The sequence below is a fragment of the Homo sapiens genome, chromosome 2, assembly GCF_000001405.40.
Source record: "Homo sapiens chromosome 2, GRCh38.p14 Primary Assembly".
Taxonomy (NCBI): Eukaryota; Metazoa; Chordata; class Mammalia; order Primates; family Hominidae; genus Homo; species Homo sapiens.
The window spans coordinates 43,566,504-43,584,596 of NC_000002.12; the positions used below are offsets into that span (position 1 = coordinate 43,566,504).

The following is an 18,093-nucleotide window of genomic DNA, read 5'->3' on the forward strand; positions in this document are numbered from 1 at the left end:
TGAAAAGGGAGATAGTTTCTTCCTCTTCTGTCCTTTACTAGCAAATTTCATTATGTACAAGCAAGAATTATAAGGTAAGAATGAAACCTCAAAGAAAGGCAACAAAACTGAAACTTCAAATAAAGCAAAATGTAGAATAAGTATGTTTTGAAAGAAAACAAAAATTACTTCCCCTAACATTATTAAACACTTACCTTCTGGGACATGAAAAACTTCAGCTATTGAACCTAAAATGGTTAAAGCTGAAAATCTAGTCGAGTAGGAAGATCCAGGAAACAATGCTTCAAAAAGACTGTTACAAATGGATGACATGAAATTCTTAAAAAAAAAAAAAAAATTACAGTAAGTATAATTACGTCACAATAGGTTATATTCAGAGTATTAAACACCCTTTAAGAGTGGGTGTTTTTGTTTTCAATTTAAAAATAAAACATTTCAAAAAATGATACTGGTTGTTCACTTTGCTTAATAATTCAGGTTAGCACCCTTGACCATAAGCTATATTATGACTTTAATAAACCCTATATTTGCAGAGTCAACAAGAAGTACAATTTCTATTGTAGCCCAGACAGATACGTACACTTTTTTTTTTTTTTTAAGACAGAGTCTCGCTGGGTTCAACAGCCCTAGTCTTAACTGACTCTACCAAAGATCCCTGCATTCATTTCTCAGGTGAAGGACATGCAACCCTGGGGAATTATCCTTTAGGTCCCACAAGCCCTAAGAGTTTATTAGGTTATTAATTCTATTCGGTTTCAAAGAAATAGGGCCATTACTGAAAAATATCCTAGTTAAGCTACTTTTAATTATAAGTAAAACAGGATTCACATTAAAACACAACAAGGGCCAGGCGTGGTGGCTCATGCCTGTAATCCCAGCACTTTGGGAGGCCGAGGTGGGCAGATCACCTGAGGTCAGAAGTTCGAGACCAGCATGTCCAACATGAAACCCTGTCTCTACTAAAAATACAAAAATTAGCCAGGTGTGGTGGCAGAGGCCTGTAGTCCCAGCTACTCGGGAGGCTGAGGCAGGAGAATTGCTTGAACCCAGGAGGCAGAGGTTGCAGTGAGCCAAGATCACGCCACTGCAGTCTGGCCTGGGCGAAAGAGCGAAACTCCCTCTGAAAAAAAACAAGATCATCCACTAAGAAGTATCATTCAAACCGTATTGTCATTTATATGGTTTAATATAGTTCTTGTTTCCTGCAATCAGACTGTAGCCACAATATATGCAGGGACCACATTTCTATGGTTGGATCCCTAGTGCTGAGCACACTATCCTACATACATAGTAATGCTCAGTATATGCTCTAATCACTTTTAATGGTTCCCAGTGAAGCTTCCAAATCCGTTGGCCTATCACTGAAAGCTATCCATTTTCAACTTGATTCTTTGGATTCACTTCCCATTACTCAAGTCCTCCATTCCCCAAGGTATTTTATGTCATTCACATCAGTGAATTCACCATTCCCTGAGTTCTCCCTGTACTTTCTTATCTCCAAGCCTTCATTAAGCTACTACTGGGGGTGGGGGGGAGAAAATACTGAGATTTTGGAGTCAAGAGCAGGTCTGGATTGGAGTTCTGACTCTACCACTTACTAGCTGAGGAACCTTACACAGGTTATTGAACTTCACTGAGCTTCAGCTTTCTCACTTGTTAAGTGGGGATAAGAATGTTATCTCACAGCCTTTTTATTAAAGGTTAAATGAGAACATGGACATCTAATATTTTATAAATTTAAAAGTACTCTAGTTACTAATATCAGTTATTTAGGTATAAAATAATCTCCACTAGCCTAGAAGATGTCTTTTTCAACTAATAGCCTCCTCTTCTCCCCCAGCACTTAGTCTATTGATTGTGAGCCTACCACACCCTGTGCATGGCACCCACTCTTATGATGGTGTGACGATTATAACAATATAGTGCCAAGGTCACAACCTCTAAAAGCCACAGGTGTACCAGTAGGGAAAAAGTACCACAACCATGAGACTGACTCAGATTAAGACTCAAAGGACTAGTTTTCAAAACATGCATACCTATAACACAGACCAAGAAACCATGCATACATGAAAATTCACAATCTCAATCCAAAAAACAGCTTTTGTGTTTCCAAGTACCTGAGTTTTCACAAATGTCATTTTACCCCTTGCAAAAAGAAAGCAAACGAGATATGCATTGTTAAATCTACCAATGATCTAAGAGAAACTACAAAATAACTAGGCTGGGCATAATATCCACAATGATCCATAATAATGTTTAGAATAGGTAGTATGTCATGCCTGTAATCCCAGCACTTTGGGAGGTGGAGTGGGGGGAATCATTTGAGGCCAGGATTTTGAAACCAGCCTGGGTAACACAGCAAGAACCTACATCTACAAAGAATTAATTAATTAAAAAAAATTTTTTTAACTATCCTACACACACACTGGGGGCTTCAATATATATTCTAGTCACTTTTAAAATTTTTATTTATTAATTTTTTTGAAGCAGGGTCTCGCTGCTCTGTTGCTCAGGATGGAGTGCAGTGCTACAATTAAGGCTCACCACAGCCCTCACCTCCCAGACTCCAGCAACCTTCAACCCTAAGCCTCCAGAGTATCTGGGAACACAGGTGCACACCACCACGCCCGTCTCAGGGTTGCCTTTTTCTTTTAATAGAGATGGGGTCTTGCTATGTTGCCCAGGCTAGTCTTGAAGTCCTGGACTCAAGTGATCCTCCTGCCTCAACCTCCCAAAGTGCTGAGATTATAGGCATGAGCCACCACTAGTCGCTTTTAATGACTCCCAGCAAGGCTTTGTAGAGAGATATATAGTTTACATCACTTCTCGGCCTTTTAGCTAAGATCAAGTGGAGAGATATATAGTCTACAAAGAGCTTTTTCATTTAATCCTCAAATCAATCTTTGAGAAAGGTTACTAATTCTGCTTATAGTTGACGAGACTCAAGTCAGCCAACTAATAAGTGGCAGAATCAGGAGTAAACCCATGTCTTTAAAGTTCAGGTTGTGACGTCCCAATCTTCGTCATTGAGATTTTAAAAGGTCGAAGCTAATTTTACCCTTTGTATATAAATACTCTTTGTTTGATGGCTTTTTATCTTTTAAATACAAAATTGAAAACCAAGGGCATCCATAATAATGTTTAGAGTAAGTAGTGAGCATGTCATAGTTCAAACGTATCATTAATCTATTAATCTACCTCTTTCTTAAAATAAATAGGTAAGCTGTCTTCTGTCTGGGCCTGAGGAGCAAAAAAGGGTCTGCTTCTCAAAGGCTAGATTTGGGGGAAGAACAGTGAAAAGCTCAATCTGTTCTGCTGAAAAGAAATTCAAGATTGTCAAGCTAAGCCCTGGCCCAGACTGGAGCTGCTGCACCCAGGTTTCCATCCATTTCATTAACACAATGCCCTAAAATCCAGCCCTACTCTTCAAGCTCACTCCAATGTGACACAGACAGCAAGCTCCCTCCACAGCTGGACCATGGGCCAAGAGTCATTAATATCAAGCCTCTGTAAGTCATCTCAAACTAAAGAGAAAACAGGCCCAGCAACAGCAGTCTTCTGCCCTGGAGAGGGACAGAGTTCAGTACTGTCAATTACCCTTCTGTTAAAAGTACTAAATTCATCTCGCCCACATAAGCTGAAAGTGATTGAGGTTAGCCCACTAACGTCATTCTGTAACAGTCCTCCGGTACAGCACTGGTTCCATAACCCAGGCTACATCAAGTAGAGTACCAAAGCACCAGAAATAGGTAATACTCAGCTTGAAGGAAAAAAACACAGAAACACAATTTACCAAGAGACTTCCATTTATTTCCCTTTAATGCTTATTCATAATACTTTTTAATTTAAAAAAAAACTCTCATGTTTAGAAATATATCACCTACCTTATACTGCTGTAAAGAAACAGAAGGGTGCTGTTTGGTTAACTCATTCTCTGGTTCACGTTTGGATTTACTCTGCTCCAATTTATAAAGTACCTGAGAACTTTCCTGTATCCTACAAAACAACTTTTGAAACAAAGGAAATGAAGCACAGGTGAGCCACACATTAAATTTAAATGTCAGCCTGAGAGGCAAATTATTTAGAATAAAACTTCAGGCAAGAAGAGTACAGATTTTTAAGCTCTTAATATTTTATAATGTTTCTTTTTGACAGAAAATAATTTTTATACCAAAAACAAACTATTACTGCAAAGCAGAATACTGTCATTAAACCACAATTCTGTTTCCTTTAAGTTGGCACAAACCTGAAGATGATTTAGTCATTTCCCTACTTTACCAATTCTTCACCCCATAAATGTGTGTGCAATTAATTCAAGTTAGATTATTTGATAATGATCTTTTGAGGTGCTTAAACTATAAAAATGCTGTTACCAAGTTTTCTTAAAACTACCTTAACTCCAGCATTAGACTTTTTCTTTACAAAAAAGAGCCCAAGGTTGATTTACTACACCAAAATGAAAGGCCTTTTGGCCATGTGTGGTGGCTCATGCCTGTAACCACAACACTTTGGGAGGCTGAGGTGGCAGGACCACTAGAGTCCAGGAGTTTAAGACCAGCCTGGGTAACAGAGCAAGACACTATCTCTAAAAAAAAATTAAATATTAGTCAGGCATGGTGGTGTGCCCCTGTCATCCCAGCTACTTCAGAGGCTGGGGAGGAAGAATCGCTTGAGCCTGGGAGGTTGAGGGTACAGTGAGCTATGATCACACCACTGCACTCCAGCCTGGCTGACAGAGCAAGACTATTTTTTTTTTTTTTTTTTTGGAGACCGAGTCTCACTCTGTTGCCCAGGCTGGAGTGCAGTGGTACAATCTCGGCTCACTGCAACCTCCGCTCCTAGGTTCAAGCAATTCTCCTGCTTCAGCCTCCCAAATAGCTAGGACTACAGGCACACACTGCCACAACCGGCTAATTTTTTTGTATTTTAGTAGAGATGGGGTTTGACTGTGTTGCCCAGGCTGATTCTGAACTCCTGAAAAAAAATGGTGGGGGGAGGGGTGCGTGCTTTTCACTCTGGATTTTAATCCCAAATGTAAGCTTTATGGAATGAGAGAACAGGTCACAGAACGGCCGTCATGAACAGATGTGGTAGCCCAATTCCATGACCATTCCCACACGCTCCCAAAATCTGGGCTCTTTTTAAAAACGATTTCCCAAACAAAGTTCACCACTTCCCTATGCCTTCTGATGGGAAATTCTACCTTTTTAAGAAGAGAACAGATCTGTTGCCGCACTCCTGGAGACTGGCTGTTAAGATTGTATGTAATAAAGAACTGAATCCACTGCATTTCTTCCATGGAAACAATTTCTGTGCTCCGATTACTTTCACAAAGCAAGCCTAATGTATCTATCCTTACCTAAAAAACATCAAGCAATAAAATGTTAATTTTCCAAGAAATAAGCAAAGCCTAAATCACTTGAATTGCTTACTTACATAGGCTACAAAAGGAAAAAAGTAAACTTCAGTTCACCAATAGGTACCTCAGAAAGGTTTCCTAATCTCAAAGATCCTAGGGTTATTTCCTATACAATTCTTTTATTAAACATGTAAATTGGGGATTTATAAAATGCAACAATCTTAAAGATTTTTATTCCGTGGTAATGCTCAGCTTCATTCCTTTTTCTTTTTTTCCAGTGACCCCTTTTACCCCATCACCTCACTCTTAAATTACTGCCAGACACTTCTAACTGGTTTCCTGGTTTCTTTCTGCTCCCACTCTGGAAACTCACGTTTCCACTAATGTAACTCCTTGCTGAAAACAGAGTAGCTTTGGTTTAGCTTAGTAAAACCAGCTGGTGCCTGGGAACCAACTAAGTCTTTAGCCTAGCATTAGGCCTTTCCAAAAAATGTCCAAAACACTCCACCCCTGATAAGCAATGTTCTTAATCATCCTCCAGACCTTGCTCATTTGGGTCCCTCCATTTTGTATGCTGCTCCAAGGCTTCCTCTTTTCTAATCATATCTATCACTTTCCTAATCAAGCACCACCTGCTCTGATCAGTCTCTTCTGAGCCTTCCAAGCGAGTCCTTATGTATTTAAGGGCACATGATGGCATGCTTGTATCTGTATTGTCAGTTCTAAGAGTTTCCAGTTGTTTTATGTAAGTTTTCTTACATCCTCAACTAAACTTTCAGTAGCTTGAAGAAAGGGCCTACTGAAAGTTTAGTTGGGAGACTAGGGTTTCTACTCATTCTCTTTATGAACTCCCTAAAACAGTTCAGGATACAATGTAGGGGCCTCTATATTGAACTGCTACATGAAAGGGATCTACTGCATGTACAAATCCAGGTAATTTTCTTTACTTACTTGGCAATGCTGATGAATTAAGCCTTGCTTTATTCTTGCATCAGACACGAGGTTCTCCCAGGTATCAGTTGCAGACTGAAGATGTCCATGAGCTCTAGCTATTCGCAGACATGCCATCAAAGCTCCCAGAGCCCCCCTGCTATTACAAGACCCTAAGGATGGGAAAGATTGCTCTTGTCCTGAAAGCACAATAACAAAGACCATTACTGTATTATGCAATGACTACTATAATTATCAGCTGCTAATTTTCATGTTTCCAATTAACATTTTATTTCAATAAATAAAAATCACATTTTAAACTCATTTCTAACACAAATTAAAGTTCCTATTCTAAAATAATCATTATTTAATATGATTTGCCCTTTTGTCAATCATTTCAAGTAAGCATAATTCTCTTATCGTTAACATAAACAAATCATTATTTACCTGCTAACATTTTTGCTTTTTCCCTAACACCTAGAAAGGGAATCAGGCAGCAAATCAGGAAATAAAATCAGGTGGAGAAATAAGCACATCAGTGGCTACAGACTATTACTTCTCTAAAAGTAAACACTGAACCTCTCTGCATATTTTAGAGTGGCTGTTTCTCACTAGTAAAGATTAAAAAAGGAACACAAAGAGCCTGCTGGTTTCAGAGGCTAGGACGTCAGCCATTACCAAGAAGACAGGGCAGCTTGATATAAAAATAAAGACAACCTTACTTCAGAACAGATTCTTGAATCCTGAATTTCAGATGGCTTTTCAAAAACTCAAGAACAAGTGTTGTCAAAAATTACAAATAATGGCTTATTTTTGCATACAGGAATCAAATTTTCCTGCTACCTCATGGTTACTCTTTGAAGTACTGAACGTTTTTAACAATTTTAGTTGAAAATATTTCTTAAAATTATGCTGTACGATACTACATTCTTGCTTTGTTAAACAGAATGTAATAATTTTAAGATTTATATGATGTGTCATGATCATCACTTTACACATCCTGAATTATGCTTGAATGCAGTGATTCCTGTAGGGTTTGTGAGTTTCAATGGGATGTTTACCCCTATTCTAAATAACTATAGATGGCTATTTCTTGAGATCATGCCTCTGAATTTTGTCACTTCCCCAGAGAAAAAAACTTGCTACTGCCAAGTTACCTGTCTTTAACCTTGCCTAACACAATTTTTAATTATTGTCTCAATGACTTGAATAAGCACATTATATAAGACACACAAACTTTTATTTCAGTGATACAATAAAATAAATTCAGAACTTGAAAAAATGAATTAAAACCTTGTAATACAGGAAAGTTTATCATTTTAAGTGGAATTATTCTTTAGCTTGTAGAAATGACTTCAGCCAAAAAACTCCATTCAGCTATATATAGGAACATTCGTTTCAAACTGAAACATCTATCATTAATCTCTTCCTTTACTATTTATAGAAGTGATATTTAAATTTGAATATGATTAGTATCTGCATAGCTACCTACATTTAAGCATCATAATTAGAAACTACTAAAACAAAAATGCATTTTTCTTACCAGTTTTAGCATCAATAGAAGTCTGAAGAATCTTTACCATGTACTGTAAGCTTTCAGGGCTGTAACTTAATAATTTTGGCAAGTAATAATCAATCACGTAAGATTTTTGATCCAAGTTTCCTTCACACAATATAAAAAGGAGAGGAGAAACCCAAGTCTCATGCCACTGGTCAATCCAAGAACTCTCAGCAGTCTGGGATTTCAAATGACTCTTATGATTTCTAAACATGGTTTCCAAGAGGTCACTTGCATAAGGTACCAATGACTGGTCTCCCATCACCTCTAAGATTTGAGATGGAATAGTTTTATCTATAGCCAAAATATGTTCAACTCCTATGCACTCTACCAAACAACCAAGGCACGTGTACTTTCCTTTAATATGCCATTCCAATCGTAAAAGACTCTCAGTCAATTCCACAAAGAAAGGATCAGGGACGAAATCTGCACCTTCCACAGTGAGCCGGTGCATTTGGAGAAGGTTTTTGAACATGATTTTGGTTTGGTGTCTCAGAGCATCCAATGGATGTTCCCAATGGGTATAGACATATTCCAAAAGTCTCCCAACTATACTTGAATTCCCATTCAGGCTGTCCGTTAGGCTCGGGGAACTTGATTCAAGGACTTGTATGGCTGAATTAGTCCAGGATGCTAAGATTCTAGACAGAAACATTTCCAGCGTTGGCTCTTTAATCCTGAAGAAAAATGAGCCATGAGCCATTATTGTAAACTGATTAGTAAAAGAAATTTCATTTTATAACAATTTAGACTTTAAAAATATTAAATACACAGAATGACCACAAATTTCAATTATTAAATTTACAAGAACAAAAAACTACAAGTAAAGCCAAAACAGATCTCAAATTTGTATATGATTCTTTTTACCTTGTAAAAAATAATCCAGAAAGCAGTTCAAGATCAGCCTAGGCAATATAGTGAAACCCCATCTCTATAAAAAATTTAAAAATTTAGCTGGGTGTGGTGACACACACCTACAGTCCCAGCTACTTGGGAAGCTGAGGTGGGAGGATTGCTTGAGCTCAGGAGTGAGACTGCAATGAGCTGTGCTCATGCCACTACACTCCAGCCTGGGTGACAAAGCGAGACTTTGTCTCAAAAATAATAATAGTCCAGGAAGGGACATAGGGAAATTTGGGGGATGATGGAAATATTCACTACCTTGACTGTGATGATTACACAAGTTATTTATTTATTTATTTATTTGAGACAGGGTCTTGCTGTCACCCAGGCTGGAGTGCAGTGGTGCGATCTCGGCTCACTGCAACCCCTGCCTCCCAGGTTCAAGCGATTCTCCTGCCTCAGCCGCCTCAGTAGCTGGGATTACAGGCGCATGCCCCCATGCCTAGATAATTTTTTGTATTTTTAGTAGAGACAGGGTTTCACCATGTTGACCAGGCTGGTCTTGAACTCCTGACCTCAAGTGATCCACCTGCCTGAGATCTGCAAGCCTGGGATTACAGGCTTGAGCCACCATGCCCGGCCTACACATGTAATTTAAAAGATAAGGAAAGCCAAGTGTTGGAGATGGTTGGGGGAATGGGGCTTCTCTGTGATAAAAATATTCTAAAGTTGTTTGAATTAACTTTTAAGATGTTAAAACTTCATTTCAGAAATGTTGATAAGGATCACTTTAGATTACCTATGTTAAAGTGCTTCATAAATTCTAAAGCACTACACATGTAGAAACTTTTATAGTTTTAAAAAATGATGCTAAAAACAAATTTCAGGAAAAAAATTTTTAAAGAAAAAATATAGCAAAGAGAATATTAAAAATTAATTTTAGAAATGCTGGTGGTTGTACAACTCTGTGAATAAACTAATAAACTGAATTGTACACTTCAAATTTATGAATTGCATAATATAGCTCAAATATGTAAAAAATTATTTTAGTTTTCCTCCTTTATTCATATGTTCAGTATTATCAAGCTGTATATATGTTTCGACATTTCATATACATGATCACTTTCAGCCATTATGGCAAAAACACCACAAAAATACAAAATACAGCCCCATGAAGTCAGAAGACCTTCTAAGATTGCTGTTTCAGGTTCTTATTAGCAATATGGTCTCAGGTAAGCATTTACTTTTCTAAGCCTCCCTTTGCCCATTCAACAAATTAGATTTCTTATCCTATATAGTAGCCATTTGAGGATCACATTAGATTACCTATGTTGAAGTTCTTTATAAATTCTAAAACACTATACATATAAAAATTTTTATAGTTTTTAAAAACGATAACATTGAAAATGTTAAAAATTAATTTTAGAAATGTTCTTTACAGGCTAACCTGCAGCAATAATTTTATTTATTTATTTTTTTAAGACAGGATCTCACTCTGTCGCCCAGGCTTGAGTGCAGTGGCACAATCATATCTCACTGCATCCTCGGCCTCCTGGGCTCAAGCAATGTTCTCACCTCAGCCTCCCACGTAGCTGAGACTACAGGCGCATGCCACCACACCCAGCTAAGTTTTAAAAGTTTTGTACAGACACAGTCTCACTATGTCACCAAGGCTGGTTTTGAACTCCTGGCCTCAAGTGATCCTCTTGCCTCAGCCTACTGGGAGGGTAGCTGGGATTAGAGGCACAAGCCACTCCAGCTTTTGGACTGCATCTTCTAAATGTCTTACAAGTGAAACAAAATATGAGACGATAGCATCAAAACTCACTGTGAACTCAAGGTGAACAAAACATGTGCAGTATCCAAGAGCAGGGCCTCCCCACTCCGACCCATGCTTCCGTTCTGCCAGTCCAACATGGCAAGTGTCCCCTGACAGAGGAATAAGACAGCTGACTGAGAGATGTCACCACAACAGAGGCTCCTGCAGCTGCTCATAAACCACTCGGGGACACTGGTGCAGTCCACTGAACGAAGCAGCACACTGCTAATCTGGAAAAATATAGCAGAGCTAACACACATAAAGCTTTTAAAACTTTTCAGAGATATTTCAAAATACAAACCCAAACATCTCTTTCCCCTGAAAAATCCTAGGAAAAATGACTAAATCCAAAGATAAAATACCCACAAATGTCATGATTATTGTATTAGTATTAAAGGAAAAAAATTACATCAAGTACGAGAATGATTTTGCTGGTTGGAATGTACTGGCAGAGCACAACACATCGCCACCTGCAGGTGGATAAGCTTAACAACTGCTTTTTTTTTTTGGTATGTATTTTTTTTTTAAACAAATGCTTTTAGAGGTGATTTGAGAAATAAACATCTTCGACTTATCCAAAGATAATTACTTTGTGTGATCTCATAATATATTTTTCTAAGGTCAGGTAAAAAGATAAAATAAGTTTCCATACAATATAGCAAGCAAAAAAAGAAATCTACTAGTAAAAAATACAAGGATTGTGGCCTAAATTATCAAATTATACTTTCTGTAAGAAGCAAATTTACTGAACAATTGACTCTATCTAGCATGCTTCCTGTCTAAAGCACATGATTTGGGTTATTCTCAATAAAGAATACATTTATCAGAAAAGTTATTACTGTGTATATATCTATACATTGATATGCATAATTTTAACATTAAAAATATCTTTTAAGATACTAATGAGAGATGACACTGAACAAACAGCACTAAAAAGAAACTAAAAGAATGTACATCAAAAATGTTTATAGTGATTATCTTTGTGAGATGGACTTACAGGTGACTGTTATTGTCTTTTTGTTATTGTTGCTTTATCTGAATTTTTGGAATTGTCTCTTATTATAACAGAAAAAGGTCATCAGAAGGAACCAGACAATGCAAAAAAAAATTATTTTAATTCACTTCTTTAAAAATATTTTTAATTTTTTTTTTTTTTAAGAGACAAGGTCTCACTCTGTTGCCCAGACTGGTGCAATCTTATCTCACTGCAGCCTTAAACTCCTAGGCTCAAGCGATCCTCCTACCTCAACCTCTCAAAGAGCTGGGACTACAGCTGTGCACCACCATACCCAGCAAATTTTCTTTTTTTTTTTTTGTAGAGACAAGGTCTAGCTAAACTCCCCAGGCTAATCTCAAACTCCTGGCCTCAAGTGACCCTCCTGCCCTGGCCTCCCAAAGTGTTGGGATTATAAGTGTGAGCCACTGCACCAAGCCAAAATTATTTTTTAAACATACCCTAACTCTCAATAAAGTACAATTCTAAAAAGGAGATGCACTTACCAAATGAGGAATCTTTTCAGACGGGTGAAACATAGTCTTAATAAAAAGAATAATAGCTAATCCAGATGTGCTCTGTACAGTCTGTAACAGATCATCTATTTGGCAAAAAAGGAGAGAAGCTTGTGTTAAATAATGAATATTCTGGTAGAGTGGAAAGAGCAGATGCTGAGCAGCCAGATAGGCCTGGGTACAATTTCTAGTCTGACCACTTCCTGGGTGAATAGGTCTTACCTAAGTTATTTAACATCCCACAGACTCTCTTTTCTCTTGGGTAAAATGGGATAACTCTTAACTGAGGCAGTGTCAGGTTTAGATGAATAATGAACATAAACGCTTTTTAGAAGGAGTCTCACTCTGTTGACAGGCTGGAGTGTAGTAGCGTGACCTCAGCTCACTGCAACCTCTACTTCCTGGGTTCAGGCGATTCTCCTGCCTCAGCCTCCCAAGTAGCTGGGACTACAGGCGCGTGCCACCACACCCAGCTAATTTTTGTATCTTTAGTAGAGATGGGGTTTCACCACGTTGGCCATGATGGTCTCGATCTCTTGACCTTGTGATCCGCCTGCCTCGGCCTCCCAAAGTGTTGGGATTACAGGCATGAGCCACTGTGCCCGGCTGAATATAAAGGCTTTTAAGCCCAGCATATAGATACTCAATAAACGTGATTCCTTCCTCTCTCCTCTAACATACACTTTCTTCCTCGCCAACTATTGCTTCCCAAAACACCTAACAGCAACACCACCTGTCCCCTCCCCTCCACCAATGCCTCTGTATCCCAATCACCATATACACAGACTTTTTCAAAAAGAGATTTCAGGGCTTGTATAAAGAATGTAGGTAAGTGCTAATTACAAACTTTGCTAGCACTGACACTGTACCCATAGCAACCAAACAGTTTTGACTTGGTATCTTCTTTTTGTTTTATCTCTATTAGCCTCTAATACCATGGTGAGTTGTTCAACCTGGGGAAAGAAGTAACACTTCTTTATGACATCATAAACTACGTACTAAATATCCACTCTGCCCTTCATCACTGATAAGAAAACTGTGACTTTGATTGGGGAAGCCACATGCCCAGCCAAAAGCAGGATACTTGCTTCTTCAATCTTCTTTGCAACTAAAGGTAGGCATATAAGAGGGTTCAGGCCAGTTGGATTTAAGCCAGTCACTTGAGTATCCTGATCAAAAGTAAAGACGCAACTGGCCTTCCTTCTTCCTGCCTTGAATAAAGACACATCTGGAGCTACAGCAGTCATATGGCAACCACGAGGCAACAAACGTGGGTGAAAACCAACCTGCTGAAGATGGCACAGCAGAAAAGCAGAAAATGTGTGGGTCGTACACTGCCTATACCAGTTCTGGATGACCTGCCTCTGAACTTGTTATGTGGGAAAGGAGGTTTGGTTTTCAGTTACTTGCAGCTAAACACTTTACTGATTATGAAGCTTTAAAATGCTGGAAAAGAATAGTACTGATTAGGTGCCATCAACTTTTCGGAAAAAAAGCTACTTCTTTTTTTTTTTTTTTTTTTGAGACGGAGGCTTGCTCTGTTGCCAGGCTGGAGTGCAGTGGCATGATCTTGGCTCACTGCAACCTCTGTCTCCCGGGTTCAACTGATTCCCCTGCCTCAGCCTCCCGAGTAGCTGGAACTACAGGTGCACGCCACCACGCCCAGCTAATGTTTTTTTTTGTATTTTAGTTTTTTAGTATTTTAGACAGGATTTCATCATGTTGGCCAGAATGGTCTCAATCTCCTGACCTCGTGATCTGCCCGCCTTGGCCTCCCAAAGTGCTGGGATTACAGGCATGAGCCACCACACCCGGCCGAAGTTACCTCATATTAAAATCATGTATTCTCTACATTTCATTAGTTAGAGAATCTTTTTTTTAGACTAACACAGTCCTCTTTTAAAAAGTAAATAACCTCTGAAAAGTTTTCTGTAAGTTATGTCTTAATAAAAGTAACTTTAACTACTTTCCTTTCCTTTTAATACCTGAGAACCCAGGCAAAAAGAGAAATAGAAATACTAATTGGACAAAATATAGCTAAGACTTTCATTACCAGGGTTAAAAACACAAACAATGAGGCCAGGCGCGGTGGCTCACACCTGAGCCACTTTGGGAGGCCAAGGCGGGCAGATCACCTGAGGTCAGGAGTTCCAGACCAGCCTGGCCAACATGGTGAAAGCCCGTCTATATTAAAAATACAAAAAAAAAATTAGCCAGGCGTGGTGGTGCATGCCTGTAATCCCAGCTACTCGGGAGGCTGAGGCAAGAAAATCGCTTGAATCTGGGAGGCAGAGGTTGCAGTGAGCCAAGATCACGCCACTGCACTCCAGTGTGGGCGACAAAGAGAGACTCCATCTCAGACAAAAAAAAAAACCAAAAAACACAAACAATGAGATGCTATTGTCTTCCAATCAGCCTAGCAAAACCAGAGTCAGTTATTGTTTTTCACTAACAAGAGCTCTAAAGAGATCCCATTAGCATGTTTTTAATTAAGTTACATTCAAACATATATTACCATATAGAATGGGAGGTGAAGAGAGAAAGGATAATTCAACTTTTTATATAAATACTTGTGTTAGGTGTCACTTTTTCGTTAATCTTATTATAATAATAAACCACAGATTCCAAAAAAGTGACAGAAAACAAATTTACAGCTTAATAAATTATTAAAAAGTGATCACCCTTGAACCTATCTTCCAAGGCAAGAAATAGAACTCAGTCACCCAGGCTGGGCACAGTGGCTCACACCTGTAATCCCAGCACCTTGGGAGGCCACGGTAAGCAGGTTACTTGAGGCCAGGAGTTCCAGAACAGCCTGGCCAACATGGCAAAACCCTTTCTCTATTAAAAATACAAAAAATTAGTCAGGTGTGGTGGTACCCTCCTATAATCCCAGCTACTCAGAAGCGGAGGCACGAGAATCGCTTGAACCTGGGATGTGAAACCCAACATGCAGAGGTTGCAGTGAATAAACATCACGCCACTACACTCCAGCCTGGGCAGCACAGTGAGATTCGGTCTCAAAAAAAAAAAAAAAGAAAAGAAAAAAAAAAAAAACCATGTAGTCCAGGGCCTCCCTCCATTTTTGAGAGGCTGAGTAAGGACACATTCCACATCTCAGTTAAGTATCACATTTCACACTATTAGTAGGAAAAGCTGATTGACACTCAATTTTAACTGTCAATTATATATCATTTGTATATAATTTGTTACACTTACCATCGCTTAAAACCTTGGTAAAAATACTCAGCAATCCACACATATTTTGCCATATGGGAGAATCGGAAGTCTTCCAAAGATTTCCCTGGAAATCTTGTACTTTCTGTACTAACATCATTGAAACTCTAATGCCTACCAGTAAGTCATTCATCAACTGTGTTTGAATAATATGATTTCCAGCACATTTTCTATAAAGAAGAAAAGACATTATTACAAAAGGAAATTCAAACAAAAGTGTGAACATTTCTAATTATCAGCAAAATAAATACATTCCTCAAAGGCCCAAAATCAATTTTAAATTATGATAATTTATTCCTCTCTCTTCCATTCCTATAAACATTCCAATTATGTAGACATTAATTGCAAACTTTCAACACTGTTAACTTAATCTACATGTCCCTCTTTCTCAGCCAATAACTAACTTCACTTCTTTTAGGGCAAAGATAAGAAATCAAGAATGAATGACAGAACTCAGTCTGGGCGAAGTGGCTCACACTTGTAATCCCAGCACTTTGGTAGGCCGAGACAGGTAGATCATTTGAGGTCTGGAGTTTGGGACCAGCTTGGCCAACATGGCGAAACCATGTCTCTAGTAAAAATACAAAAATTAGCCAGGTGTGGTGGCACATGCCCGTAATCCCAGCTACTCAGGGGGCTGAGGCAGGAGAATCGCTTGAACCCCAGAGGTGGAGGCTGCAGTGAGCCGAGATGGCACTACTGCACTCCAGCCTGGGTGAGAGAGCAAGACACCATCTTAAAAAAAAAAAAAAATGACATAACTTACAAACTTGAACACTCTCTCAACATTGATATATTTTCCCTCCCTGGCTTTTTTTTTTTTTTTTGAGACAGAGTCTCCCCCTCTGTCACCCAGGCTGGAGTGCAGTGGTGCAATCTGGGCTCACTGCAACCTCCACCTCCCGGGTTCAAGCGATTCTCCTGCCTCATCCTCCCAAGTAGCTGGGATTACAAGCAAGCCATCATGCCCAGCTGATTTTTATATTTTTAGTAGAGACAGGGGTTTCACCATGTTGGCCAGGCTGGTCTCAAACTCCTGACCTCAAGTGATCCACCTGCCTCGCCCTCCCAAAGTGCTGAGATTACAGGCGTGAACAACCATGCCCAGCCTCTCCCTGACTTCTAAAATGCCAGGCTCTCGCAGATTTTCCCCTACTTCACCAGCACTCCTTCTCGGATACCTTCACTAATTCATCCTCTTCTCCCTGATCTTTTTATGTTAGGAATGTCCAGGACTCAGTCTTTATTCCTCTTCTTTTCTCCATCTAATTCTCTCCTTTGCTGATCTCTTTTAGCTCATCAGCTTTAAATTATAATCTACATGCTGATAATTCCCAAATTTTTATCTCTAACCCAGACCTCTCTGTCTAATTCCTTTCTGGTATATCTAACTTCCTGATATTTTTACTTGGATGTCTAACAGACATCTCTAAATGAGTGAACTTATCTTCAACTCCAAATCTGCTGTACCTGCTGCATCTTTATCCTACAAAAACATTGTAATCATCCTTGCCACCTCTCCTCTCCATCTCATCTATAAGAAAATCCTGTTGGTTCTACCTTCAAAATACATCTAGAATCAGACCAACTCCACTGCTACATCTTGGCCTGAGCCACTCTCATCTCTCCCTTGGGTTATTGCCATAGCCTCCTAACTGGTCTCTCGCAGCTTCTGTCCTTACCTCTCAGTTCTCAACACAGCAAAACACAGAATAATCCTATTAAGGCAAAAGTTAGGAAAAACAACTTGGTAGTTCCTCAAAAAGTTAAATATAGAATTATCTTATGATTCCACTCCTACGTATATACCCAAAAGAGCTAAAAGCAGAGACTCAAAGATATACTTGTATATCAATGTTTATAGCAGCATTATTCACAATAGCCTAAAGGTAGAAACAGATCAAATTGTCCATCGACAGATTGATTAACATGTGGTCTAAACATACAATGGGATATTATTCGGCCACAAAAAGGAATGAAATTCTGATATATGCTACAAACGTGGAAGACCCTCGAAAACACGCCTGTAATCCCAGCACTTTGGGGGACTGGGGCAGGGGGACTGCTTGCGCTTAAGAGTTTGAAACCAGCCAGGGCAACACGGTAAAACCATATTTCTACCAAAAATATAAAAAACAGGGCATAGTGGCGGACGTCTGTGGGCCCAGCTACTCCAGAGGCTGAGGTGGAAGGATCACTTGGGCTTGGGAGGCAGAGATTGCAGTGAGCCAAAATCCTGCACTCCAGCTTGGGTGACAGAGCCAGAGCTTGTCTCAATTAAAAAAAAAAAAAAAAAAAAAAGGAAAAATAAATGAAATAAGCCTGACACAAAAGGACAAATCCTACATGATTCATAAGAATCACCTAGAATAGGCAAATTCAAAAAGACAGGAAGTAGAATAGAGGTTACCTGGGGCTACAGGAAAAGACTTTTTTAAAAAAATAAATTTTCCTTTCTTTTGGACGCCCTGAATTTGAGGTACCTGTAAAACATCCAAGCTGAGATGTCCACAAGTTAACTGTCAACTGATGTCCATCAGTCTACCACTCAGGAAAGAGATCTAACTTGGAGTAATAAATTTGGGAATCCTGAGTACATAGGTGGTGGCTGACACCAAAGTGGACATTATTAAGCAGTTCAAACGAACAAAATAAAAAGGACAGAACCCACCTTTACACGATGAGCATAAAAAGAAGAGCCAAAAAGGAGAAAAAGAGACAAAGAGCTCCTGCTGTGGAAAAAGGCTACCCTGAGTGAAAGAAGATGTACAGGTATTATTTCTCCTCTCTCCCAGAACCTCCTCAAACCAACAGCCATGGGATTGAAAACGTAAAAAG

At 39.0% G+C, this 18,093-nt stretch overlaps 1 protein-coding gene across 9 annotated transcripts in view, besides 1 other annotated feature; it reads right to left on the reverse strand.

Moving 5' to 3' along the window:
- The window catches only part of THADA (THADA armadillo repeat containing), a 365,188-nt gene that overhangs the window by 335,653 nt on the left and 11,442 nt on the right, over positions 1–18,093 (reverse strand). For 7 of the 9 annotated variants that reach the window (NR_144316.2, NM_001345923.2, NM_022065.5 and 4 more), the window contains 8 exons: positions 15,238–15,425; positions 12,010–12,104; positions 10,519–10,739; positions 7,833–8,524; positions 6,311–6,489; positions 5,204–5,359; positions 3,885–4,007; positions 195–318 (listed from right to left, as the gene is read on the reverse strand). Coding sequence is in view for 7 of the 9 variants with exons in the window: in NM_001345923.2 (NP_001332852.1) it covers positions 195–318; positions 3,885–4,007; positions 5,204–5,359; positions 6,311–6,489; positions 7,833–8,524; positions 10,519–10,739; positions 12,010–12,104; positions 15,238–15,425 (1,778 nt within the window). In the remaining 2 variants the exon portion in view is untranslated. The remainder of the gene's footprint in view (positions 1–194; positions 319–3,884; positions 4,008–5,203; positions 5,360–6,310; positions 6,490–7,832; positions 8,525–10,518; positions 10,740–12,009; positions 12,105–15,237; positions 15,426–18,093) is intronic. The other 2 variants (NR_073394.2, NM_001345924.2) reach the window with 2 other exon arrangements.
- Positions 16,003–16,222: a silencer, noted in NCBI's record as "fragment chr2:43809645-43809864 (GRCh37/hg19 assembly coordinates)". NCBI's record gives its function as "represses an EF-1alpha promoter that drives an FKBP-Casp9 reporter gene in an ReSE screen in K562 erythroleukemia cells {active_cell/tissue: K562}" and the evidence as "EXISTENCE:reporter gene assay evidence [ECO:0000049][PMID:32094911]".